General features: G+C 42.0%; 1 protein-coding gene and 1 long non-coding RNA gene across 9 annotated transcripts in view, besides 5 other annotated features; one reads left to right on the top strand and one right to left on the bottom strand.

Moving 5' to 3' along the window:
* FHIT (fragile histidine triad diadenosine triphosphatase) overlaps positions 1 to 27,370 on the top strand; it is a 1,504,176-nt gene that overhangs the window by 1,426,532 nt on the left and 50,274 nt on the right. The window lies entirely within an intron of this gene.
* Positions 5,790 to 6,989: an enhancer, noted in NCBI's record as "P300/CBP strongly-dependent group 1 enhancer chr3:59803658-59804857 (GRCh37/hg19 assembly coordinates)". NCBI's record gives its function as "activates an origin of replication core promoter dependent on BRD2, BRD4, P300/CBP, MED14 and CDK7 cofactors, with strong dependence on P300/CBP, by STARR-seq in HCT116 cells {active_cell/tissue: HCT116}" and the evidence as "EXISTENCE:reporter gene assay evidence [ECO:0000049][PMID:35650434]".
* The window catches only part of CFAP20DC-DT (CFAP20DC divergent transcript), a 724,471-nt gene continuing 710,711 nt past the window's right edge, over positions 13,611 to 27,370 (bottom strand). The window contains exon 7 of the long non-coding RNA XR_002959675.2: positions 13,611 to 15,189. This is a non-coding gene — a long non-coding RNA (CFAP20DC divergent transcript). The remainder of the gene's footprint in view (positions 15,190 to 27,370) is intronic.
* Positions 14,181 to 14,814: an enhancer, noted in NCBI's record as "H3K27ac hESC enhancer chr3:59795833-59796466 (GRCh37/hg19 assembly coordinates)". NCBI's record gives its function as "activates a minimal SCP1, AML or CMV promoter by ChIP-STARR-seq in primed H9 embryonic stem cells {active_cell/tissue: H9 hESC(primed)}" and the evidence as "EXISTENCE:reporter gene assay evidence [ECO:0000049][PMID:30033119]".
* Positions 14,815 to 15,448: an enhancer, noted in NCBI's record as "H3K27ac hESC enhancer chr3:59795199-59795832 (GRCh37/hg19 assembly coordinates)". NCBI's record gives its function as "activates a minimal SCP1, AML or CMV promoter by ChIP-STARR-seq in primed H9 embryonic stem cells {active_cell/tissue: H9 hESC(primed)}" and the evidence as "EXISTENCE:reporter gene assay evidence [ECO:0000049][PMID:30033119]".
* Positions 16,083 to 16,718: an enhancer, noted in NCBI's record as "H3K27ac hESC enhancer chr3:59793929-59794564 (GRCh37/hg19 assembly coordinates)". NCBI's record gives its function as "activates a minimal SCP1, AML or CMV promoter by ChIP-STARR-seq in naive H9 embryonic stem cells {active_cell/tissue: H9 hESC(naive)}" and the evidence as "EXISTENCE:reporter gene assay evidence [ECO:0000049][PMID:30033119]".
* Positions 25,119 to 26,318: an enhancer, noted in NCBI's record as "MED14-independent group 3 enhancer chr3:59784329-59785528 (GRCh37/hg19 assembly coordinates)". NCBI's record gives its function as "activates an origin of replication core promoter dependent on BRD2, BRD4, P300/CBP and CDK7 cofactors, and independent of MED14, by STARR-seq in HCT116 cells {active_cell/tissue: HCT116}" and the evidence as "EXISTENCE:reporter gene assay evidence [ECO:0000049][PMID:35650434]".

Raw genomic sequence — 27,370 nt, 5'->3', positions numbered from 1 at the left:
TAGAAAGATAACCAAAAGAAATTAGTCTACAATGGTGGGGGTTAGGAGAGGGATGGGTGGAAGGATTAAGGAAGGAATGGTTGAAAAGAGGCCGAGAGAGAGGATAGAGAAAAGTTAGAAGTTGGAAACCAGTATTGGACATTTAAACTACTTTGAACATATTGATTTAACACACTGAATCTTTGTAATATTGATGTACTCACCACATCTTCCTAACAGAAGGTGGGGCTCACTTCTCCCTTTAGCAAGTGATTCTTTTTGAAGTATCAAGTTTCATCCAGGCTAAATACTCCTGCCAGTGAGAATGCAAAAGGAATGTAGTATAATATGAAATTCCCCCAATTTATTTAATATAAGTTTTGCTACATGGCTGTATGAAAATTACCAAAGGGCCTATCAATTCAAAGGCTGGCCTAGTTCCTCTGGATACTCAAAAATATTATTATAACAGACATGTATTGAGTTCTTAATATATGTCAGGTATTATGCTGGACACCTAGCATGTGCTGTTGCTTTCAATATACACATCAGTTCTCAAGGCTGCCAAGCCAGTGCATGTAAGATACGCAATGCAAGGTCTCTGCCTCACCATCTAATTAGTTTCTAGTCCATGCCTCTATTCCCATTCTTTTTTACCCCTTTCCTTCTTCTTTAACACTCTCTCTACCTCCCTCCGTCCTTCTGTACCCCTCCTCCAACCTTCTTTCCAAATATAGGGATAGAGAAAGTCTAAGAGTTCTTTCAGCAGTGTTTTGTAGTTTTCCTTGTACACTCTTTCACCTCTTGGTTAGGTATATTCTGAAGTATTTTATTTTTTGCAGGAATTGTAAAAGGGGTTGAGCTCTTGATTTGATTCTCAACTAGGTTGCTGTCAGTGTATAGCAGAGCTACTGATTTGTGTACGTTAATTTCTATCTTGAAACTTTGTTGAATTCACTTATCAGTTCTGAAGCTTTTTGGATGAGTCTTTAGGGTTTCCTAGGTATATGATCATATCATCAGCAAACAGCGACAGTTTGACTTCCTCTTTACCGATTTGGATGCCCTTTATTTCTCTCTCTTGTCTGATTACTCTGGCTAGGACTTCCAGTACTGTGTTGAATAGAAGTGGTGACAGAGGGCATCCTTGTCTTGTTCCGTTTCTCAGAGGGAATGCTTTCAACTTTTCCCTGTGCAGTATTATGTTGGCTGTGGGTTTGTCATAGATGGCTGTTATGACATTGAGGTATGCCCCTTATATGCCGATTTTGCTGAGGGTTTTAATCATAAAGCAATGCTGGATTTTGTCAAATGCTTTGTCTGCATCTTTTGAGATGATCATGTGATTTTTTTTTTAATTCTGTTTTTGTGGTGTATCACATTTATTGACTTGTGTATGTGAAACCATCCCTGTATCCCTGGTATGAAACCCACTTGATCATGGTGGATTATCTTTTTGATGTGCTGTTGGATTCAGTTAGCAAGTATTTTCTTAAGGATTTTGCATCTGTGTTCTTCAGGGATATTGAGTAGAATCAATATTGTGAAAATGACCATACTGCCTAAAGCAGTCTACAAATTCAATGCAATTCCCATAAAAATACCACCATCATTCTTCACAGAATTAGAGAAAACAATTCTAAAATTCATATGGAACCAAAAAGAGCCCACATAGCCAAAGCAAGACTAAGCAAAAAGAACAAATCTGGAGGCATCACATTACTTGACTTTGAACTATACTATAAGGCCATAGTCACCAAAACAGCATGGTTAAAAATAGGCACATAGACCAATGGAACAGAATAGTGAACCAAGAAATAAACCCAAATACTTACAGTCAATTGATCTTCAACAAAGCAAACAAAAACAGAAATGGGGAAAAGACATCCTATTCAACAAATGGTGCTGGGATAATTGGCAAGTCACACGTAGGAGAATAAAACTGGATCCTCATCTCTCACCTTATACAAAAATCAACAGAACATGAATCAAGGACTTAAATCTACGACCTGAAAGAATAAAAGTTCTGGAAGATAATATCAGAAAAAACCCTTCTAGACATTGGCTTAGGCAGACTTTATGACCAAGAACCCAAAAGCAAATGCAACAAAAACAAAGATAAATAGGTGGGACTTAATTAAACTAAAGAGCTTCTACACAGCAAAAGGAACAGTCAGCAGACTAAATAGACAACCCACAGAGTGTGAGAAAATCTTGACAATCTATATATCTGACAAAAGACGAACATCCAGAATCTATAAGGAACTCAAATAAATTAGCAAGAAAAAAACAAACAATCCCATCAAAAAGTGGGCTAAGGATGTAAATAGACAATTCTCAACAGACAATGTACAAATGGTCAAAAAATATATGAAAAAATGCTCGATATCACTAATGATCAGGGAAATGCAAATCAAAACCACAATATGATACTACCTTACTCCTGCAAGAATGGCCATGATAAAAAAAAATCAGAAAGTAATAGATGTTGGCGTGGATGCTGTGAAAAGGGAACACCTCTACACTGCTGATGGGAATGGAAACTAGTATAACCACTATGGAAAACAGTGTGGAAATTCCTTAAAGAACTAAAAATGGAACTACCATTTGATCCAGCAGTCCCACTGCTGGGTATCTACCCAGAGGAAAAGAAGTCATTATACAAAAAAGGTACTTGCACACACATGTTCATAGCAGCACAATTCACAATTGCAAAAATATGGACAGCCCAAATGCCCATCAGTCAACAAGTGGATAAAGAAATTGTGGTATATGTATACAATGGAATACTGCTTGGCTATAAAAAGGAACAAATTAATGGCATTCACAGCAACCTGGATGGAACTGGGGACTATTATTCTAAGTGAAGTAACTCAGGAATAGAAAACCAAACATTGTATGTTCTCAGTCATATGTGGGAGCTAAGCTATGAGGATGCAAAGGCATAAGAATAATACAATGGACTTTGGAGACTCGGGGGAAAGCATTGGTGGGGGTGAGGGATAAAAGACTCAAATTGGGTTCAGTGTATACTGTTCAGGTGTTGGGTGCACCAAAATCTCACAAATCACCACTGAAGAACTTGCTCATGTAACCGAATACCACTTGTTCCCCCAAAAACCTATGGAAATAAAAAAATTAAAAATAAATATATCACTAAATGCAGATCATTTATATATTTTTTTTAAAAAAAAACTCTAAGAACCAGGAGCAGAAGGAAACAGTTGTAATCTTGGCACTAGATGCTTTGGTGGCTGGCACATGGTGGGGCATCAGCAGGACTGGTTGAATGGCTGCTGGGTAAGCACTGGTATTGAATGCTGCACTGGTAAGCCAGTCTTGTTTACACTACCAGGCACTGTTGGAGCAACTGAGGGAGAACTCTGCAAGGCAGAGGTGATTCCAGTTAGCATCCCATCTGCTCTGTGAGAGAATCATATTGCATTTCCCAGGGGGTGGGTTTGAGGAAACCACATGAAGAGGCAAAACTGCAGCTGTCTCCTTGCAGATAATGGGTGTGGAGTGTTTTCTATGGAAGCCACCACAGGACACTGACAAGAGGCACCAAATCCTCAGAGCACTCTTTACCCCGACATGAGCCCAACAAAGACCTCTTATAAAAGCCAACATCAGTTGCTTCTGCTTTCACAAATATTATCATGTTTGTTTTCTTCTACTCTTCTGATTGCTCCTTCTCAGGTTTATTCCTTTGCCAGTCCTTTAACTGTTGGGGTTTCTCAGAATTTCTTCCTCAAATATCTTGCCTCTATGTTTTTCCCTCTTTGGTCTGGTCTGCTCACCTGAAACCTGCTCTCATCTCCAAGATGGTGGCGCTCAAGCTTGACCTCCAGCCCCACCTCTCTCCTGAATATTAGACTCATATTTCCAACTGCTTCCTGGACACCTTTATCTGCACTTTGAATTCAGAAAGTCCCTAATTCGAATCTTACTCACCTTCCCATAAACATCTTCTTTCCTTTCATGACACTCATCTTGGTTAATGACAATCACCCAAGCCTCCAAGTTGGAAATATGAAACTGGTAACTTCTGTTTCTCATACTTTTATCCATTCAGTCAGTCACAACTTCTGTGCTTCTGCCTGTGTTGTGTCTCGCACATTGTTCTTTTCTCTTGCCCTGACTCAGACCCCCATCACCACCACCACTCTAAATTGTCTTCCTTCCCCACCCTCTGTGTGACCATAGGGATCTTTCCAAAGCAGAGGTCTGCAAACATTTGCAAGGTACCCAGTGACAAATATGTTAGGCTTTGTGAGTCATGAGATCTCTGTTGAAACTACTCAGCTCTGCCACTTTAGCACTAAAGCAGCCAAAGACAATATATAAACAAACGAGCATTGCTGTGTTCCAATAAAACTTTATTTATAATAATAGGTGGCAGGTCTGATTTGGTTCATGGGATGTAGTTTGTCCCATCCTGTTCTAAATCGTGAGACATTTTTCTCACCTACACATCAGTAACTCTTCTTTGCTAAGGGTAGCCAATCTTAGCCCTAGCTTTGAATCAGAATCACCATGGTGCCCTGGGGCCTAGGCATGTGTAAGTTGTTGTAGTACCTGGTACTAAGTTGTTCACTGTACATGCCCACTGGTCTGACAGCTGAGGATATGTTGGCCCAAAGAGGATGATCATTTGCCGAAGATTACCTGGACATTAGTAGTATTGTTGGACTAAAATCCAAGTCCTGGGTTCTTTGTACTTCTCTAGGCTAGATTAGCTAGTAAATGTTGAAAATGAAACCTTGGTTCTCAGCAAATTAACAGGCAAGGTATATATTCATTGTCTTAGTCCATTCCTGTTTCTACAATAAAATACCTTAGCCTGGGTAATTTAAAAAAGAAGTTTATTAGTCATAGTTCTGGAGCCTGGGAAGTCCAAGATCAAGGTGCCAGCGGATTGGGTTTCTGGTGAGGGCTTGCCCTCTGCTTCTGGCATGGAGTCTTCTTGTTGTGTCCTCACAGGAAGAAAGAGACAAACACTGTGTCCTCACATGGTGGAAGGGAGAAGGGACCAGAGTGCTTGCTTCAGTGTCTTTTATATAGGCACTAAGTCCATTCATGAGGGTAGAGCCCCCATGTCTTAATCACTTCCCCAAAGGCTCCTCTTAATACTGTCACATTGGGTCTTAAGTTCCAACATGAATTTTGAAGAGATACATTCAGACCGTAGCATCCATTAATAGAGGAATAGGTAAATAAATTATGAGGCATCTGTTCTATGGTATGATTCCATTTGTATAATGATGGTAACAACAAAAACAAGACATATGACTATGTATTTAGATGTGTGCAAATATACAGAAAAATGTCTGGAAGAACACGAGCCTGTCTGCTAATACGGCTACCTCCAGGGAGGGGACCAGGACTGGAGCAGGGTGGTCAAAGAGGTTATATTCTTATTTCTATTTTAACATTTTTCCTATACAAATAATTTCTAAAAATTAAATTTTTTTTCAAGAAAAAGAAAAATAGGGATATAGCACTGGTAATTGTCTCCACAAAGCAATATGAAGTACAGACAAACATATTGTCTCACGGAAAATAACTGAGAGACACAGTTGCTAAGATCAGGAATTTGTGGGACCTAATTTGGTCCAAACTAGGCAAGAACCTCGAGAAATTGGTATGTAATTTAGGTTTGTGTTACAGAAAAGAATTGGCAAAGACCATAAGAGCATAATGCTTTCCACAGTTAAATGTGAGCAACCTCCCCAAATCCAGAACTGTAAGAAAAGAACGGTTTCTTTGCTAACCCAGTAGGCCATATTGTTAACAGAAGTTGTATCCGATAAAAGATCTATGTTTAAACTATAAGATGCAACAGGAAAAAAGAAACACAGCATATGGAACTGTTTCTACACCACTTCAAGTCAACAGAGACAATATTTTAAAAATAACCAGGAGAATTCTCCAGGATGTTTCTTTTTATCTCTCTTCTCTGCATTGCGATTTTTACTGACTCTGACACAGAGTAGTCATTGCAAAAAATAAGAAGCCGAGGGCTAGTGTCATATCCATGCTGAAGAGGTGTTTAGTTTCTTTCATCAAGGGGCAGCTGGGAAGGAAAGCATTTCTGTGTGCCTTTGCCTTGGGGAAGACCTGTCTCCTAAGAACTCTGTGCATGTGATCTGCGCTGTTGAAGGAGAAATGGGTGAGCAGAAGTGACCGCACCCTGTAACTTCCTGTGTCCAGGAGAGCTGGCAGTCGGCCCGGTCTTCTGAGACATCCAGTAAAAATGAATCCCAGTTACATCTGCGGTGCTCACAGAAATAGATCTGCTGTATCTAATAAAAGCAAATGTTACTTTTTGTAAAGGGCTGCCGGGTCACATTCGGAATGGTAAACAAGTCCCCCAAAAAACTTATTTTTGAGGTAGAGACTGTGTAGATCACATTTTACCTCCTGGACTATTATTTACGTGTATCTTACTGTAAATGACTCAGGATTAAGGAGAAAAAAACACCATCTTCCTTTGAAGAGAAAGAAGGGAAGCTGGTGTTTCTAGCAGTCTCTGCGAAAGGTAGAGATTCCTTCCACATCCGTGAATTAACCCCACTTAGGAGTGGGCACCCTGCTATATTTCCATTCCCAAACCTTGCACACGCTGTGTTCTCGGGGAGGCTGAACAAGCTGTGGGTCTGAATTGCGTGTCTGGCTTGCACAGCCCCACGTGGGCCGAGGGGAGGTGGGCTGATTCATAATGAATGCTCCGGGTACTTAGAGTAGGGCAGAGTGCAGGGGACTGTTATTCTGCTTTGAAGTTTTCTGCCTCCCTCTTTGGAATGGATCAAAGGCCTCCTTTTTTTTTCTTTTTAGAATTCCTATAAGCTCTTAATACAGTGCTCTCCTCTCAGTTCCCCTCCTCTTCTATTGCAAATTCCTTTCCCACCAGCCTCAGAACCAGAAGTTGTGGGTGTCCACACAGTGGTCTCTATAGTTTCTCCCTCCCTTCCTCTCTTTCTTCCCCCCAGCCTCTCGTCCTTTGTTTTATCTTTCCTTTCTTTCTTTCTTTGGAGTGCCCCTGAAGCTCTCAGCCTCAGCTTAAGGAAAACAGCTAGTGGATCTCTGAAAGTGTTCTGCAGCTCATTTCTTGCTAGCAAAACAAGAAATATGAGAATGTTTTTTCTTCCCTTTTTTTAAAGAAGGAATCTGGATTGGAGAGATAACTGTTGTGAATAAAACAGGTGAAACTGACTTGACTAGTTGCTTTGGAAGCCGAAACGAATGTGAAACAAAGCTCTTCTGTGCCTTTAAAAGGCTGGAGGATGGTTTCTGAACTATTCCTATTGTAGCTTCTGAATTTGTTCTTCTTTTTCTTTTTTCTTTTCTTTCTTTCTTTCTTTTTTTTTTTTTTTTTTAGTGACGGGTGTTGCTCTGTCTCCCAGGGTGGAGTACAGTGGCACGATCAGAACTCATTATGCAGCCCCGACCTCCCGGCCTCAAGTGATCCTGCCTCAGCCTCCCTGATGTCATAGCCACAGCACAGGAAATCATACTAAAAGTGGTCCTCCTGTGCAATGCCAAGGGACAGTTCCACACACCCGTTTGGTGGATAGTCTTACATCCCAGATGGCTCTTGTTCCAACTGGTAATAACATGTAACATGTGAGCATGTTCTTTTGCCAATTGATTTTCTTCTGATCTTAGCAAATAACCTATCTGGGATAGCAAACCTGAGAAACAGGTACACTAACAACACACACAAACATTAAAATTACATTAAAATCTTAAAGCCTTAAGGCAACTAGTTTTTAGAAAACAGAGGATCTTATAGATGGTAATTTAGAAACTTAATGCAAAAACACCATCTGCTAAACCTCCTATCTACGAAGACGCTGGGGTCTGCGGAGAGCACAGCCTGTATCTGGAGTTAGCTCCATCTGCTTCTACCTGCTCCCTGGGAATCTTCTTCACTGAACAAAGGTCCACTTTTGTTTAGGTCCCACGAGTTTATACTGGTCTAGATCAAGATGCTATTCAAGAGTCTGTCCATCCCACCCTGGGTCTCTTGCTTAAGTCTCAGTCACTTCATTTGGAATATGCTGATTTTCTGAAGATCTCCAGAGGATTCATTCAGCAAATGTTTCCTGAGCATAAGACAATTTGCCATATCCTGAAGGGGACGTAAATGTGAGAAAAACAGGGAGTATGGTTCAAGAGAGGGGATAAGATCGTTCAAGGAGAGCAAAGTTGACATGGTGAGAGGGGTACAAAGACTGTGGAACTTTAGGGAATAGAAATCTCTCAGTTGATCTGGTAGGATAGGACTTGATTGTCTCTGCTCCTACCTTCTATTGTGAGTTCATGCTCCACTTTCCTGCTCCCTGAGCACCTATCACTGTCTGCAAACAATATGCACTTAGGTCATCCCAGATGGCTCTCATTCCCACTAGTAATGACAGGTAAGCATGACTCAGGATTCTCTGTCACACCTTTCCTGGGACCTCACAGCATCACATGGAATGTTCCTTCTTTTATCTCCAATCATGCCAAGGAAGAAATCCACAGTATTATAAACCCAAACTCACTGTGATTGTTGTTATTATTGTTTGTTTAAATTTTTAATGAACGCAAAAAGTCCACATCTAATTGGCAAAAATCATATTGAAGATGACATATGTGATGATAACTGAGTGTACACTGTGTGCCAGGTGTCACATATCATTCCATGGAATCCTCCCAACAAGCCCAAGAGCAAGGATCACTGTCCCCATTTACATAGAGGAACTTGAGGCACAGAAGAACTCACCAGCTTGCCCACAGTCTCACAGTTATTCAGTCTTGGCTGTCACTCTCTGTGAGACACAGCCTCCCAGATCCAGGACTTGCAGAAACCCTGGGCAGGCCTTTCTTTGTAGTTTTTGTCAGGTAAGACATGCCAAGTGGGCAAGTGGGTTTTTTTGCTTCATGACAACAACCAGAAATGGCAAAACATTTTCTGTTATGCTTTGAAGAGAATTCCATACTTTTTCTTGGAATTCACTTTCCTTATTATTTCTGCTTGGCTCTAGCTGATTTAAATTTTTTTTTTATTTCTATAGGTTATTGGGGAACAGGCAGTATTTGGTTACATGAATAAGTTCTTTAGTGGTGATTTGTGAGATTTTGGTGCACACACCACCCAAGTAGTGTACACTGTACCCGATGTGTAGTCTTTCATCCCTCACCCCCCTCCCACTCTTTTCCCTTGAGTCCCCAGAGTCCACTGTGTCATTTTTATGCCTTTGTGTCTTCATAGCTTAGCTCCCACTTATAAGTGAGGACATACAGTGTTCGGTTTTTCATTCCTGAGTTACTTCACTTAGAACAATAGTCTCCAATCTCATCCAGGTTGCTGCGAATGCCATTAATTCATTCATTCCTTTTTATGGCTGAGTAGTAGTCCATTGTATATATATATACCACAATTTCTTTATCCACTTATTGACTGATAGACATTTGGGTTGATTCCACATTTTTGCAATTGCGAATTATTCTGCTATAAACATGTGTGTGCAAGTATTTTTTTTCATATAATGACATCTTTTCCTCTAGGTAGATACCCAGCAGTGGGATTGCTGGATCAAATGGTAATTCCCCTTTTAGTTATTTAAGGAATCTCCACACTGTTTTCCATAGTGGTTGTACTAGTTGACATTCCCACCAGGCTATAGATGATTTTATAAAGGCTACATTCCCTTTCCTTCCATAGTGGCCTGGGCTGCAGCTCCAGGCCAAAGCTGAAGTTAAAAAAACAAAAAACAGACAGACAAGACCTCATTCCCAGGCAGCCAGCAAAGCAGGTAACAGATGTGGATCTAGGGATGGGCCAACTCTTAATTTCCATTATGCTCAATCCAGGTTCTCCGAAGCAGGTGAAGTGATGTAATCCATGTGATATACTAAGCACAATATTCACACATGGTAAGTGTACAATCAGTATCACCCATTTCTATGAATAGTGTGGCTTTATGCTCATGAGCTGGAATGTGTACTCATGACTGTTAAGGGATTTGCTCCTTCACTCTGCAGTGCAATGATCTTATATTTTTTTTCATATTTATTCCCCCACTGCATGGTAGCCTTTGTGAGAACAGGAGGACAAGCAGAGTCAGCAAAGGGAACTACACAAGAAAAGGCAATTTCCAGTAGAAGAAAGTCCAAAGGGAAAGGGCCTCTATATTGGGAGCTCCATGAGAGAGGGACTGTCTTTTCAAGCTCCTAGCACAGGCCGGATGCTCTATAAATACTGAAGGATAATAGGGGAGAAATATTATGTTTAAAAGCTGTGTGGCCTAGGAAAGAAATAGGACCTATGTGGGGACAAGGGATGGAGTCCACTTGGTCCTCCACTCCTAATTATAAAGGGTCTCAAATTTCGACATTTGATGTTATTTCCAAATGACTTGTTGAATGTCTTATGTGTGCTAAAGCATGAACTTCTTAAATATAGACATTTATAAAATACAACCAAAAACTTAAGCTTTATCACATTCTTTTATTTTGTAAAATGTCAGCAGCCTCAAAAATTGCCATTTGGAAACACCTGTCTTGACCCAGAAACCTGTCTTTCACTCACCTTAGGCCAAGACCATACGTGCTCTGGCACCTGGTGGCCAACACCAAACTGTTGGCCGTCATTTATTTCTTCCAGATATTTTGAATTTTCTGACTAACTTGTCTGAAATACACCACAGACGCGGAGCATTTTCCAACAAGTCTGATGTTGTTCCATCTCAGTTTTAATTCTGAAGCTGTGAATACTTCCTTGAAATAACAGCAGCACATCTTTTCTTTGCTCAAATCCTCCTTGTTTAATTTGCCAAGGATAGCAGGCTTTCTCCTCCCTGAATAATTCACCGTCGGGTGTGTGTGTGTGTGTGTGTGTGTGTGTGTATGTGTAAATTTTTTTACATAGAGGGCAGTCGGATGAATCCGTCCTTTTAGAATTGTCAGTGACAGACAACTATGACATCAGGTCATTTGTGAGCACACCAGCCCACTGATTTGGCATCTCCTAGCATCCCACACCCTGCTACCATCACCAAACCACCATTAACTCTTGTACCTCAGTTACCCCCTTCATAGCCTAACCATAGGCCATGCAGGAACAATGACTTATCTAGCTGTTTATTGAGTCACGTGTATGCCCAACCCCGCACCAGGAGCTAGGAATACAACTGTGTGCAAGGCATACTTGGGTCCCTGACCTTTTGGTGGGGAAGACAAGCTTCCCCTCACCCCTAAAAAACCATCCTAATAAATAAGAATATCTTTGCTATTGCAAAAGGATCAACAAAAATCTTGCCTCGTGTTAAATTCTTGACAACCCTCCCAGCTTATTCTTAATTCTTTAAGCTCTTTTAAAATCAACCTTCCTGTTCCAAAGACTACCTCCAAATCCTTGCTCTATCCCCTCTCAAAAATCCATGAATTTGGATCCCAGATTTATTATTAAGTAAGCGTTCCAGGAATTATTATTTCTCTCTTCACATGCTGTGCTCTCTGGGAGCACAAACAGTCGCCTTCTTAAGCTGGCAGGAAAGAATGCGAGGGTACGTCCTCAGGCGAACCTTATCGAGAGCCAGAAGCCACACATTTCCAAGGTGTAAATATGCAGCCGGTGGTGCAGGCCTGGGATGCAGAGCCCCATCAAAGTGTTAACATAAAATAAGGTTGACAGTGCCACTTCATCAGAAACAGGCAACAAATTAGATGTTATGAAATGCTTATAAGCCTAGGGAGTAAGGTGCTCAAAGACAATTACCAACTAAACATTTCATTAATGAAATAATGATTAATTGTAATTACTAATTAAAATTCAGGATTATGCTGTTGGTTTTGAGCAGTAACAGGAGTAATGACATTACCATTTTTAATGGAATTCCAGGAATGAAAACTATAACAACTCACAGAAAAGATATGGCTTGCAAGCGTGATTAGGACTTACTGTTAAACCCAGGGGCACGGAATTTTCCCTGCTGGTGAACTTAAGTAAGTTTAATGTGGTGTAATTTAATTACTGAGCGTAGTTTTCTTCTCAGTGGGAAGAGATACCAGGTTTATGCTTTAAAGAACAAAAGGAAGAACATAAATAGCTATGGGTAATGATTGGCTACTAGCAGGAAAAATCAAACAGCATTTAACTGTCTTTTGCATAACATTTGAGGGTAGATGCATCCTGGCTCGGTTGCAAATTTTATTTAATTAATGCTTAGAGGATTAACAACAAAGTAGCCCATGCAGACAGGGAATGTAGTCCTGTCGAGTGTACAGGAAAGTGAATTTCCATAGGAAGGACGTCTCCACTGAATAATTAATGTGCGTGCATTTTCATAAATGTCAAATTCCCACAGGAAGCAGAAACTTGACCCTCTGTAATAAACCATTTAGGATTCATTAAATATAAGCATCGTTCTTAAACTGTTTGCCATGGCACATGAGCTCATCCATAATGCAGCATGCTGGCCTTAGCTGCAACATAAAAATGCCCAGCGCTTGGCTTTTAGGCAGCTGCCGTTACCCTGAGTGTGCCGACTTCTTCCAGTCTGACTCAGATCTAGCCCCTGTGGGTGAGCTATCACTCACTTCTTTCTGACTTGTATAAGGCCAAGATCAGTCCAGAGTCAATCTGGAAAGCTAACATTTAACTCTTCCTCAAAGACAAGGAGGGCCTCAGACCCTGTTTAGACCTTCTGTATCAGGGTTCCATGACATTGGCACTAGTATCCTGTGGGGCCAGATCATCTTTGTTGAGGAGTGACTGTCGTGTGCATGGCTGATCGTTTGGCAACATTCCTAGTCTCTGCTCACTAGATGCCAGTAGCATCTACCCTCTCCCACCAGTTATGACAATCAAAACTGTGCCAAACATTGCCAAGTATCCCCTGGGGGCAGAATCTCCCCCAGTTGAGAACCACTGTGTATAGATCTTACTGGAGTGTATCCACCTAGGTAGGATGAGCTGCCACGGGGTAGGATGAGCTGCCAAGGGGGCACAAGGCTTCCTATTCAGCTGGGCCTGTGAGGCTGTGGGAATCCATAACCCCTTGTCACCTTCACAATCACAGCCATCCACAAGACCAAATGTGCCTTGCTCTTGAATAGTATTAACTGCCCCTTACAGATCCAAATGTGGCTATCACAGTGGCAGTAAGTGCGCCATTAAAATGAAAACCATTTACTCTAGTGACCCAGAGCTGTCTTATATATTCCTCTCTCTGCAGCAGTGACTGTTTCCTTTTCTTTATGTATCAAAATTACTAGCGCTGTGAGCAACCCCCACCATTGTCCTGGACTTATAAGGAGTCCAGTAAATCACTAAGTGATTTTCTTTTTCTTCCTTCCTTTCTTTCTTTAAAAAACAAAAATAAATTTTCTGAGATTAGTATGGGAAAAGAAAAAGCAAATGAGCTCACCCGTGGAAATTTTTATCCCAACTGTTTCTAAAGTCTGAAAACAAATCACATTTTTTCTTTTAATAGAATATAGATTTGATTTCTTGATTTTAAAACATGCACTTTTAATTCTGTCTGGGCATGCAGGATGCCCACATGCTGGCTAAAAAAAGAAACACGAAGCTATTTGGAGAATCACTTTGTCTACACAAAAGCAGAAGCTGATTTGACTAATGATTTTTCTCCTCTTTGATTTTTATTTGAATCAAAATGAGCAGTTAGTTATATCTTGGCACCCCACTGCCATTGCCTCTGCATTCTCCTAAAATAAAGAGGATTTGATGTGCTTAGTACAGATGTGTTATGAGAGGGTGACATAAGTGTGCAAGGGCATCCTTGACGTTGTGTTGTGTCCATGTGACATAGTAACTGGGCACAACTCATTTCACACTGAGAGGTTGAGACTGGTCAGTTATTGGAAACCCAGAGCATTCTGATTTTCTCTTGTGACAACAGTTCCACTTTGGCCTGTTCATAAATCACACTGGCTTGAGAGCAGACCATCACAAGTATGTTTTCTTTCTAGTATTCCACTTTCAACAGACATGTTTTAAATTAACCAGCCAAACACAGTTCAAGAATCAGAACCAGTGAGTGAAAAGTCTACTTGGCTCAAAACCTGACTCAGTCTTATTAATTCAGAAAGCAGAAAGCTTACATGCGCTAATTACCAAAGCTACTAATTAGCTTTAATTATAAGCTTGGAAGGAAGTTGAAGTGTGCTGCATTCGATAGTGCTGTTGACCTTTTCAGTGTACTTTGGAGGGGGAGGGTGGAGAGGCATAAAGGAGGTGTTATAAAATTCATCAGAGAGCAATTAATTTATGTCTTCTGATGAATATGCTATAAATTAACACATCTGTGTATATCAGAACATAAAGGCATTTTAATGGAGCCTTACCAGTGTCAACTCTGAGTGCCCCAGCCAGCCAAGAAAATGTACTCGTTTGGTAAGTTATTTCTTATTCTACCGCTATTGTAAACCATGTGGCAAACTGCATCCAGCCAGGTGCATGCTTCTATTTGTAAGTCATAATTAAGATAGGGGGCCAGCTTTGATTGATTTGGGAGGGTCACTCTGAGGAGCTGCCCTTGCAGACATTTCATGAGGTGCTCAGAAATCTGTTTCATGCCAAAGTCTGGAAATACTGTCCCCATTGGTCTCTCACCAGGGTCTTATTTGTCACTCTCTCTGAGCCTCTACAGCCCAAGGCTCAAACCGTGCCTTTGATGTGGCTGGGATGCTCCATGCTGTTTTTCATGTGGTAAGACAGCTCCTCCAGTACTCCTCCTCACACAAATGACGATGGCTTTCAGGGACCACCAGTACAGCCTTTCACACCTCAGAAGACCCTCCTCAGGCCCCAGGAGCCCTCTCACAATCCCCGTAAGAGGCACCTAAAGCAGACCAGCATCTGCTTGCTGTGACTTGTAAACTCTGAGTCCCCTTATCCTCTAGATTTGAAGCTTCTTTGGTTAGGTTCCAATCTCTCAAAACTGACGTATCCCCTAGTAACCACCAGAGGGATCCCATATAATGTGATAAAAATTATAATCAACATGGAGGAATCACAGCTCAGCCAGCGTGTGCTTGCTTCCAAGGCCCCAGGTCTCTCAGCCTGGAAAAGGAGAGCGGGGAACAAAGGAGGAACAATGTGAGGGAAGGTTCTCCTTGGCAGCTTCGGGGAAGGGATCCTCAAAGGAGAGGCACAGGTCTGAAGACGGAAGTGTCTGAGGCCAATCTTCTCTTCTCCTGGAAACAAGCAAACAAATAAAACAAACCCCAGTCATTACAAAGAAAGCCCTTTGAAAATCAGTGAAATCAGACCCTATTTGTTTCTAAACCCGTGTTCAGAAGTTGAACTCCAAATATAATGAGATTTTTTTGTGAGAACTAAGAGCCTTTTCCATGTTTCAAATAGGGTTGTACAATTGTATAAAAGAAGAGGGAATTGGGAGTGTATTATGTTAGCTTCCTAGGACTGCTGTAACAAATTGGCACAACATGAGTGGCATAAAACAACCAAAATGCATTCCCTCCCAGTTCAAGATGCTGGATGTCCAAAACTAAAGTGTCAGCAGAATCATGCTCTCTCTGAAAGTTCTGGGGAAGAATCCTTCCTTTCCGCAATCTTTGGCCTTCTTTGGCTTACAGCAGATTCACTCTAGTGTCCGCTTTGTCTTCACATGGCCTTCTGCCCTCCGTTGATGTCCTTATAAGGACACCAGTCACGGAATTTAGGGCCCATTCTAATCCAGTATGACCTCATCTTGACTAATAACATCTCCCAAGACCTCTTTCCAAATAAGGTCACATTCTGAGGCTCTAGGTGGACATGCATTTTTGGAGAGCACACTCTTCAACCCAGTATGTGTTCCTTAACTATTTATGTAAACAACATTTCAAGTTTAAGCCCTAGACACAAAGCTGGGCTGATACTGTAGTTCTAACATGATTTCCAGGTCTTGGGATGAAATCCATGATCACCACCGGGAAAATGATACTTCAGTCACCGTGGGTTTCCTCTCTGCTTTTTAAAATATAGTTTTTCAAGCACAATGCCTCTCCTCTAAGCTGTTGTAAGGCTTCTGTCGGAGAGTTTTTGGTGTCTTTTGTGTGTGAGTGTGTGTTGTGTGAAGTATCAGAAGACATTGTTTCTACCCCGCAGTCCCTTTGTAGCTAATTTTATTGCCCTCAGCTGTTAGGTCTTATAGATTATCCCCGAGCCTATTGGGCCAAATCGGTGTAGTTAAAGCTCAAGCCATCCTTGTTTATCCCTGTTCTTAATTCATGTCTGGCTGCCCAAACGGCCAACTGAAACTCCAGATCAGCTCAGCAGAAAGCTGTATGTTCAGGTCAAACATGCTTGAGTGAGAAGATTGTCTGCAGTGTGTCAGGCAAATTGGCAAGCAAGTGTCAACAGACCCGGAGGTGGGAGGAGAATGAAAAGAGGGGAAATTAGCAAAAGGAGTGGACGTGGTTGGACCTGAGTTTTACCGTAGGGTAGAGACTGGTCATCACTGGCAGAGGTGGGGTTGTGGGGAAAAAGGGAGATAGTCCCAGGGGCTTGTCAGAGAGGGCCTCCATCTCCAGGTCAGAAAAGCCCTGAAGAGCCAGCCTTTCAAGCCCACTTCTTGTTCAGAGGCCCCTCCGCAATATCCCTACCATGTGGACTTCTAGCCTTGGCCTGAATTCAAGCATCCTAAGTCATTACCAAGCCCCCTTTCAAACCACACTCTTCATCCTGCAATTTTCATTATGTTAAAAAAGCATCTGCTTCCCCAGACACTAAAGGCCACATATTGTATGATTCCATTTCTATGAAATATCCATAATAGGCAAATTGATAGAGACAGAAAGCAGATAAGTGGTTGCCAGGGACTGGGGGGGTAGGGGAAAGGGGAGTTACCACTTAATGGGTGCAGGGTTTCCCTTCGGGATAATGAAAATGTTCTGAAACTAGGTAGCGGTGATGTTTGCACAACACTGTTGAATGCACTAAATGCCACTGAACGATATACTTTAAAATGGCTAAATGGTGGATTTTACGTTATGTGTGTATGTTTCACCACAGACATATAAATTGCTTTCTTCCGATCCACCCACTAGTTATCTACCTGCTCCATGAAACCAAACAAGTTTAATTCCTTTTCCACGGCCCACGTTGTTAATGTTTCTTTCTCCTGTGTTTGCGGAAACCATCACGCACCCCCACCCCATATCTCCACTTCTCATGACTACTCACCCTGTGTCCCAGAATTGTGCATCTTTGAAACCCCTGATCCTGGGTACCCTCCAATGGATATATCCCCTTTTCTCATTCCTTTTCTGAAATTATGCTGCTGCTGGGATATACTGCTGCCGAGGAATATGGACAGCACATGCTACAGAATAATCACCTGCTTTGGCCTGGGACTTGGAAGGTCTGGGTCCTGACTTTAACTCTCTGTGTAACCTGAATGGTAAACAAATCATTCAGCCTCAGTTTCTTCACCTGTAAAATGGAAGACAAGAGGGCTTCCAAAGCCTTTTCTGACTTTCAGACTTCTAACCCACCACATAGCTCTGGACCTTATTCTTGCTGATGACACCCCATAGTGTGTTCCTGTTTGGCATCCCTGCTATGCTACTAATACCCACTGAGCTGGAAGTTAACCAGGCAGGACATCTTCCTCACTAGGGTTAAGCTAGATCTTCCGCACCCCAACCCGCAATGTGTGACATTGGATTTGGGGCTCCAGATGGAAGATTGCACTAGGATCCTGATTAAATGCTGCCCCATAAGATGGAATACAACATTCCAAAATGTAATTTTTGATCTTCATTGCATTATCTAACCTATGTATATATCTCTTATTTTGCTCTCATAGAGAAATCTGTGTGTGTTCTCAGGCAAGTCCCTTAGCAGAATTTTGGATAAGAGAGGGATCACAGCCAGAGTCCCATACTAGCCCACTGAAGATTTCTATTCTGGTGTTTTCCTCATCTCCAGAAGTATGGCAATGGTCCTGTTTATCACTGTTCTGTTTCTGGAACTGTCTGAGCTGAGACTAAATAATTAATAGAGGGGCTTTCTGAAGATCTTTCCCTTATCTTTTTCTTGATATGAGGACTACACTTGTATTTTGGTGGTTTGCATTTGATTTTGTTGTTCTCATTGTTTCTCCAGTGATAATTTGGTTTGAGTCACTAAGAGGACACCCCCATGTTCCACAGCTGCATTCTAACCCCATACACTGGGGAGATACACATATATATGTATATACATATGTATATACACATATATACATATGTATATACATATATATACACATATATATGTATACATATATATGTATATATATATATAAACCCTGTACCCATATATATATATATGATTTGCTCAACTGCTTTAACTCACTTGCAGTAACAATGACTGTGGATGGTAGGAGAGAGTCAAGCAGGCAAAATTCTCCTTGATGGGAATTGCCGCTGGGGATCTAGAAGCTCCACATTCAAGGTTTTGAGGTAGCCATGACCAGTCTAACTGTAGAAGTGGAACGAAGCATTGGAAAGAGTATAAATTTAGAGCTCTAAGAACTAGGTTCAGTTTCTTCCATTTATCAGCTTTGTGGCCATAGTCAAGTGTTTGTCTCCCTGTGCCTCAGTTACCTTATTACAAAATTAGAACCATTGTGAGGCTTAAGAGAGGCCTAAAAATTAACTCTACCATTTACCCCTCTTGCCACATAACACATGTAATGTCCTAGGCTTTACAACATCCATTTTCATGTAGATTATTCCCCATGATCTTTTTTTTTTTTTTGAGACAGATTCTCGCTGTCTCCCAGGCTGGAGTGCAGCGGTGTGATCTCGGCTCACTGCAAGCTCCGCCTCCTGGGTTCACGCCATTCTCCTGCCTCAGCCTCCGGAGTAGCTGGGACTACAGGCGCCCGCCACCACACCCGGCTAAATTTTTGTATTTTTAGCAGAGACGGGGTTTCACCGTGTTAGCCAGGACGGTCTCGATCTCCTGACCTCGTGATCTGCCCGCCTCGGCCTCTCAAAGTGCTGTGATTACAGGCATGAGCCACCGCGCCCAGCTTCCCCATGATCTTTAAAAGTCACCAAAGAGGAGAGGGGAGAGAAGTAGTGTCTACAGAGTAGCATACCCAGCATCATGCTCAGTACATGGTTAACCCTCATTGAAGCCTCAGAATAGTCCTAATTTTGTAGTAAGGTAACTGAGGCACAGAGAGGCAAAATTTGACTCTGGCCACAAAGCTGATAAGTGGAGGAAACTGAACCTAGTTCTTAGAGCTCCAAGTTTACAGTCTTTCCAATGTTCCATTCCATTTCTACAGTTAGACTGGTCATGGCTACCTAAAAACTTTGAAGGTGGAGCTTCTAGGTCAAAAAGGATGTAGTCTAATGGCAATAAACTGGGGACACTTAGCACAGAGTTTTGTTCAGATTCTTCTCTGTGACCCTTTGTCTTCAGAGATAAGAACATTCCTTTCTTCAGGGCACCTCTCCAATGAGGGTCTTCTAACCTGCCGCAAGGACAAACAGGGAGCGAACAGTCAGAAAGACCTTCCTACTTCTGTTACCTTCTCACATTCCTTTAGCTGAAAATATTCACTATGCCAAGGTGCCATATTTTGGGGAAGCATGTCCTGAACTCCATCACTTTTATCTTTAAAATGCAGATTGCATTAAATTGCCTTTAATATTCCTAGTGAAATTAGAAAACTTGGGGATAAGAACAATCCCAACACCTGGTCCTGGGCTTGACTGACCTTTATCTCTGTCTTCACAAGCTCTGAAGGAGTAAGTGCCCACAGAGCAGGACACGCCGGAAAGGGACACTTTGAGTTTCTTATTCCGTGCCCCATACAGCCTCCCACTGCTTCAAGCTAGACAGAGGAGGACTCTTTCTCCCTCTAGAGACAAACCCAAGGCCTGGAAACAAAGCAAACAGAATGGCCGCCTTAGCTCCCTCTCCCCTGAAGCCTACACTAGACTCTAAGATTAGAGCACTCCAATACCAAGTAAGTACAGGTACCTGTCTCGAGAGAGCCCACCAACCTGGGAGAAAGGGTGGTTTCCCCAAATGCTTAGTGCATGACAGTCCTCGGCTGTTCGCTCTGCACTTTCTACCGTGGGGCAGCTCCAGAGATCACCTGACTTGCCAGTTCCCAGAAGGCAGAGTCAGCAAAGGGCCTTCTCAGGAGACCCAAGTGGCAGTGAGACAGGAAAATAGGGTCTGCAGGCAGGGAACATAAGGCTGATTCACACTTGAGCTATGACAGGGGCTATCCTCTCCATAGGGCATACGCCAAGTAAATGACTTCATAACTTTACTTCATCCTCTTCATTTACATAGGGCATACACCCAGTAACCAATGGAAACCTCTAGAGGCTATTTAGACCCCCAAAAATTCTGTAACGGGGCCCTTGAGCCCCTATGCTCGGGCCCACTCCCACCCTGTGGAGTGTACTTTCATTTTCAATAAATCTCTGCTTTTGTTGCTTCATTCTTTCCTTGCTTTGTTTGCGCATTTTGTCCAGTTCTTCAAGATGCCAAGAACATAGGCACCCTCTACCAGTAACAGCAGTACCTTCTTCTTCAAGGGAAAACCTAGCCTTATGGGATAAAGAGACAGACAGCTATTGACCTTGAAATGGGGCAGTGTAGATAATGCATAGTCCATTAAATATCTTCAAACTTGACCGACGCCTGGCAGTCTCTTCCTGGATTTAAGTGTAGGAGTGTGAGGAGGAGCCATAAACTCTTCTTGTGGGTTTCATAATTTCCTACTCTCCTCAAATGAACCAGAGACAAGGACATAACCTGATGGTCGCTCTGCGAGATGTTGCTGAGTTCTTTCCTTGCTCAAGAAAACAGAATATGTCATGATCAAGCCACATCAATGATGAATATGCACATCTTGCCTGATGGCAGACTGCTACTTAAAATGCTGGAAGCCCTACCCCTGAGAACCAGGCCCCAAGTATTATGTTGGCGCAGAAGTAATTGCAGTTTTTGCCATTGAAAGTAATGGCGAAAATCGCTATTACTTTTGCACCAACCTAATACATTCATTGCTACCGAGCATCTACATGCCCCGGATGTTCAGGGTTTTTTGTGCCTCTTTAATTCTGATATTTTTTATTTTATCCCTTCTTTGAGATGTCCTTTACTGAAGCAAATAGGGATTTATTATTACCTGGCAATCTCCCTTAGGCTGTTTCGTTCAGGCTTGGTTGTTCAAGGCAACTGACAAAAAGAAATTTGGGGAACAAAGCCATTTTGCTTTGTTGGGTCACCTTTAATAGCTTGAAAAGGTCCAGAACTTCTTTACTTAGCAGAATCTCCTGATGACTTTGCTAAGTGAGGAGCGAGATGCAGGTTCCCTTTAAAAGCCTGACATCTTTCCACCTTTGTTCATACGCAAAGTGTTTTCTCAAAGTGAGGCCTTCTGCCTTTGCACATCCCCCACTCTAATGAGACCCGTGCTGCCGCCAAATCACATTCGGAGACCGTTAATGCAGCAGGAGCTGGCGGAGGTCTCTTCTCCATGGAAGCAAGCCCGCTCACCCAGGTGAAGAGCAACAGCACTAATGAGCACCAGGAGATGATCTTAAAACAGAATCCTTCGCTGGCCCCGTGCTCGCCTGTAAGGTCCTCATTCTTTAGTCTTCTTTCTGTCCCTACAACTTGGGAAAAAAATTTACCTCGTCCCTGTCTTTATAAATTGGGAGGGATATCTCAGACTCTTGACTTTAATTCAGATAATTAATGTACTGAGCTTTTAATTGAGTGAGTGGGAGGGAAGGAGATGTGTTTTGCCAGCTTTTAAATGTAGCGGAAACATAAACGCCAGGTTTCAGGATTAAAATGAATGATCAGTCAACCAACATTCATCCCGTGCCTGGTATGTATGCACCATTCAGCTAGGCAGCGCTGGGGATATCACAGGGCAGGCATGGCACCTGACACGTGTCTTCAGGGGGATGCAGTCAGTCAAGTAGAATAGGTAAGATGTATACCCGTATCACTACAGTTCAAGATAGAAAGTGTTCCAATAAATAAATAAAGCCCCTAATTTCAGAGGACAGATTCTTTGGAATATCTTTTCTCTATTCTCACTGCTTGTAATTCAGACCACCATTCTCTCTCCCTAGGATTATAGCAGTAGTGAAGTGACTAGTTTCTGGCCCTCAATGAACACCTGTGATGTGCTGGGCACATAAAACAATTGTCACGCGTGTCCATGTGAAGAGACCACCAAACCAATAGGCTTTATGTGAGCAATAAAGCTTTTTAATCACCTGGGTGCAGGCGGGCTGAGTCCAAAAAGAGAGTCAAGGAAGGCAGATGGGGTGGGGCCGTTTTACAGGATTTGGGTGGGTAATGGAAAATCACAGTCAAAGGGGGTTGTTCTCTGGTGGGCAGGGGCGGGGGTCACAAGGTGCTCAGTGGGGGAGCTTCTGAGTCAGGAGAAGGAATTTCACAAGGTAATGTCATCAGTTAAGGCAGGAACAGGCCATTTTCACTTCTTTTGTGATTCTTCAGTTACTTCAGGCCATCTGGATGTATACGTGCAGGTCACAGGGGATATGATGGATTAGCTTGGGCTCAGAGGCCTGACAACAATGAATTAAGAGAAATGGGCCAAGGATAAGAAGGAGTATTAAAAGGAAACTGTTGGGAACTAGAGCACACACAGGCTTCTGTCTGAATAGGGCAGACGCTTTGGCTACAGTTAATTATTGCCAAGCAGGGTAGGGGAACCTGAGCCACTAGGTACACATTTTTTTTTTTTAATACAAGTCTAATTATTTTTTAAATCTTTTAAACACTGCATAAGCCATACAGAGCATTCAGTGTGCCTGAGCTGGCCTGGCACCTGCCATGTGGCAGCCTGTGGCATATACTACACCAAGGTGAATACACTAAGGCTGAGGTGACTCAGAGAATCTTTGTGGAAGGGGGAGTATTTGATACACGTTTGGAAGAATGGGTGTAGTCTGGAAAATGGCTTTCCAAGTAAATGAGAGAGTGTGAACATTAGGTATGGACCTAGGGACTTTGAGGTTGTGGTCAGAAAAAGACAAGGACTCAGGCGGCTGGAGACCAGGGTATGAGCAAAGGTCAGAGGGCATGCCATGGAGCCTCAGGCCAGAAGGGTAAGTGGAGGCCAGATACCCGAGTGACCTCAAGTGCTGGTCCTTTACCCACTCGAAACCTCACTCTGCTTGTCTGTACAGTGAGGGTGGTGACACCTACCTCCCAGAGTTGTTGGAAGGAGCTGGTGGGATTATGCGTAGCGAATGCTTGGTGGTGTATCTAGCATTGATACAGAGCATTGGGTCACCCTGCTGTTTAATAAAATTTAGGCTTAGGCTTCATTCTCCTCACACTGTGGCACTAGTGAAGGGCTTCTTCTTTTGTTTTTCTTTTTTAAAGTCTATATTTTCACTTATATAGGGAAACTAAACATTCAGAAATGTACAAAGAAGGAAATAACAATCATCTACGTTCTCATCACCCAGAATTAACCAAGGTTAACATCTTGGGAGATTTGTATTGGCATCCAGTCTTTTATTTTTAAGTTATTCTTGATTTTGCAAAAACAAGAACAAATCCATCACAAAAACTTGTTAAAACACAGCAAAGTACAAAAATGAAAGCATTTAAGCCTACCATCATTACATTAGGTGCAAATCATTTCAGACAGTTTTATGTGCATCATATATAAAAGGATGACTGCTTCCTATAGGGTTATGGGATTGCCATAAGGATTAAATAAGGTACTCCAGGTGAAGCATTGAGGTAGCACAGGCCTGGCATACAGTGCTCAATAAATGTTGGGTCATCATAGTCAGCAAATGAGCAGGTACAGCTCTGCAACACTACAATTTCTGTATCATGTTTCACAAAAGTCTAATGTTCAAGTTGGATCCACCTTTCAAGATCTTTCCCTACCCAATTGCAAAGAAATGTACAACAACTCTTTGCGATGAGCTGGGAAGGGGGAGATGATCAGGATCCTTGGGAATTTCACGAGCTGATAAAAAAGAGCTCCAGAGACAGAGGAGATCACGAAATGTGGCCTCTTTTCTTCTTCCCTTCCCTCTCTCACCCTCCCCTTTCTTCTCTCCCCCTCCTGCACTCCTGTCCTGTTGTGGTTTAACACTCAGCCACTGCAATGCTCAGAAAATGCTTACAAAGTCCTCCTAGTTACATTTAAGACCCCCTTTCTCTTCCTGAGGAAGATACACACTGATCCCAGAGTTAATGAGTATTGATTGTGACATCTGTCTTCACCAGTGGCCCAAGAAAGGGGTGCACATGCTGGCTGCCTATGGTTAACAGCTCAGTTGAAGACAGGAAGCAAATTAGCTGTTAGACGGTGGTCCTTTGCACCTGAAATTCATTATAGCTTTAAACTCATTTTGAAAATGTGTCTTGTAACTCTCTGAACCAGGAGTAAAAGCCCGGGCCACTTGGTGAGAAACCTGTTTTGCTTAGTGATTAAAAAATCTGGCACTGCCTCATTCTTTGAGCTTTGCAGAAATTTGCAATAGCTTCTTTTTACCATAAAGCAGGTGTGAGGCGAAGACTTTGTGTGTGTTTATGATCATTATGTTGTATTAAAGAGTCGTGTTGAGTTCCAGAATGAGAACAAGAACGCTGCATATTCCTCTACCTGCAAAGCAATTAAATTATTGTCTGACATGTTTGTAACTCCAGAACCAGTAATCAGCTTTTAGTCTGAATAGAGGACATGGCATTATAACCCAGTGCTTTGCTGAGAGGTTCATATTTAGCATTTGCATTTGATAATTTAATTTAAATAATACCGAGCAAGCACAGTTACACTTCTTGGCAATTGTCGAAGTAACAGAAAAGAATGCAAAGCACAGGCTGTTTTTTGTAAACAATTTTTGTATTCCTGAATGGTTTTCACTTCCTTGATATGAACCTCTGCTGCTCTTGTCGAATAGACTAGAAAATGGTAGGAGCCTGTAAAGTCTCAAGTATTATGTCTCTCTTTGTTCCCTTTCTCCTCTTCCCACAATATCTGAGCAATCTCCAAATTTCCATGTGATTGTGAAAGGCCTGCAGTGAACCATTTTAAAAAATCGCCCCCACAAGGGACTTTTTTCTTGCAAGACACCGTTATGTATTATAGATCAATTTTCTGATAAGAGTCTGTTTCAGAGAATATTTGGTAATTTCAGCAAAGGTAAGTACTTGCCACAGGAATAGTGAATCCCAAGTTAATGCCCAATAATATCACCAACTAAATGAAATAAATGGAAGAAAGGGTCTCTTCTCTTCCCTATCCCCCTCCAAAATAAAGTTTATGGGATGATTTCAGGATGTTCATTTCTAGGACTATCTAGCTATCATATTTCTTTACCCAATTTATTTACTTCAAGGCACAGGTGCCAGCTGGTTTCCAGACACGTTGCTGTTTCCACTTTCTCCCCTCCCCTTTTCCTCTACTTCTCATGAACAAAATATCCACAGATTTCTTCCATCCCTGTTAGGGGAGTTTCAGGGCCTTCCCCATCACAGGCCTTGAGAAACCAAACGTCCGTGCCCTAAGGTATTTTTTTCTCTGTTGCGCTTGGCTTTATAGTCTTGCCCAGTAGGACCTGCATAAGCTTTCTCAGGCACCACATCTTGCTTAGAACTCAGGGAGGTCAAACAAAGTCTTTCATTTTTACTGTGCCTCCCACTTCCCAAGACCTGCCCAGTCACCCAAAATGCTGATTGGTTGCAAATATCACATATGTAAGTCTATGTACGCCTTCAAAGAAGGTTTATTCTACTAAGAATGGTATTTTCTGAGAGATGTTGTTTAAAACTGAGTTAAAAAATATTTAAGTAGATTTCCTAGTGTTTCTAGAATCTTCCAAAGGGCAGGAAAGGGAGTAATCAGTGGAGAAGTGCAGCTTCCCTTTGGTTTGTTTAGATTCAGCATGTCTGGGCATGCACAAGGCTTTCTGAGAGTTCACCAACGTGGCTGGAGGTTAGCAGAGGCTACCCTCCCAATCATATTTTAAATACGTCCAATGCCAACTGAGATGACTCTTTCCTCTGAAGAATAGCCCTTACTCTCTGCCAGCCACAGTGTTTGTTAGATATGTTTCATCTGAAATCTCTTTCGAACCATCCTAAAAACCACAGAGTCAAACAACTGTGGACTTCATCAATCCATTTTCCAGATGCTGAAACTGAAAACTGAAGGGAGCTAACCTGCCCATGGTCATCCTGTTGGGAACCAAGTTACTAAGATCTAATGCGGGTCTTCCCAAACCCAAAGCCTATACTGTTTGCACAGCCTCACAGGCTCCAGCCGCTACTTCTTTGTGTACATTAGCAAGCGTTCTGTCAGTGTATAATGTGCTAGCTACATCTGTGGCCTTGGCCTTTGATCAATATTGACCACCCCTGAATTCTTGTGAATCCTGGTATATCTGATTATGAAGAGTTGTAGGTACCCAAGCAGCAATGATGCAGCCATACACAGTGACTTGCACATTTGAATAACTCACAGAACCATAGCATTCATGTGTCTGAGAGGAAACTCTTGGTATAATCTTCTTTCCTCCTGCTATCTTGCTCTTCTAGTGAGAATTTACCTAAATCGTATAGCACTATACTAGAGTTTACCTTAGTTCATGTTAAGATCTATCTACCGTTAGTGATTAAGCTGAGGAAGGAGAGGTGATAAAACATTGCTGGGCGGCGTAGGTGCAACCCCTTCTGCTTTAGTATTTTTCTGAGCTGAAATACTGTCTTAGATATTCTAGATGAAATACTACCAGCCAAAAAGGGGACATGAAGAAGGTTTTTGGTTTAGGAGGTTATGGTTCTGGCATGTTTCCCAGTAGGGTGGCTCTGAGAAATGGAGCCATGGTGTTGAAGAGGAAATCACCAAAACACAAATGGGCAGCCTCTTTGGGACCCTAAGCAGTGCTCCAGGCAAGTTGAATATACTGTTCTTGTGGTAGTAAATGTTCAGGTTCTTCACAGGAATGAGGCTGATAAAATCCTGTGAACATGGATACCTCATCACAGCAAATGTAACGATTTTCATTTGTTTTAATTCTATGATTAGTTCTGTTAATAAAAATGTCTATTTAAGCTATTTAAGACACCCACTGAAATGCTATCATATTAATTTCACGGAAAAAATCCAACGGAACTATATTAGTTTTTCCCCCATGAAGGTGACATTATGGACTTTTAATGGCACTGTCAGCAATAATGGTTTTTATTGACCTAATTATTAAATGAATTAAAATCTGTCTCAATGCCTTGACAATTATATAATATCGGCATGGAGGAGAGAGCCACGGTGGGTTACTGTGTGATGAAACAGGAGAAACCCAGAACTACATCCTCCTTACATGCATTGGTTCATCCAAAGAA

The sequence above is a fragment of the Homo sapiens genome, chromosome 3 (genome assembly GCF_000001405.40).
Source record: "Homo sapiens chromosome 3, GRCh38.p14 Primary Assembly".
Lineage (NCBI taxonomy): Eukaryota > Metazoa > Chordata > Mammalia > Primates > Hominidae > Homo > Homo sapiens.
This window is presented reverse-complemented; position numbering and strand designations above follow the sequence as displayed.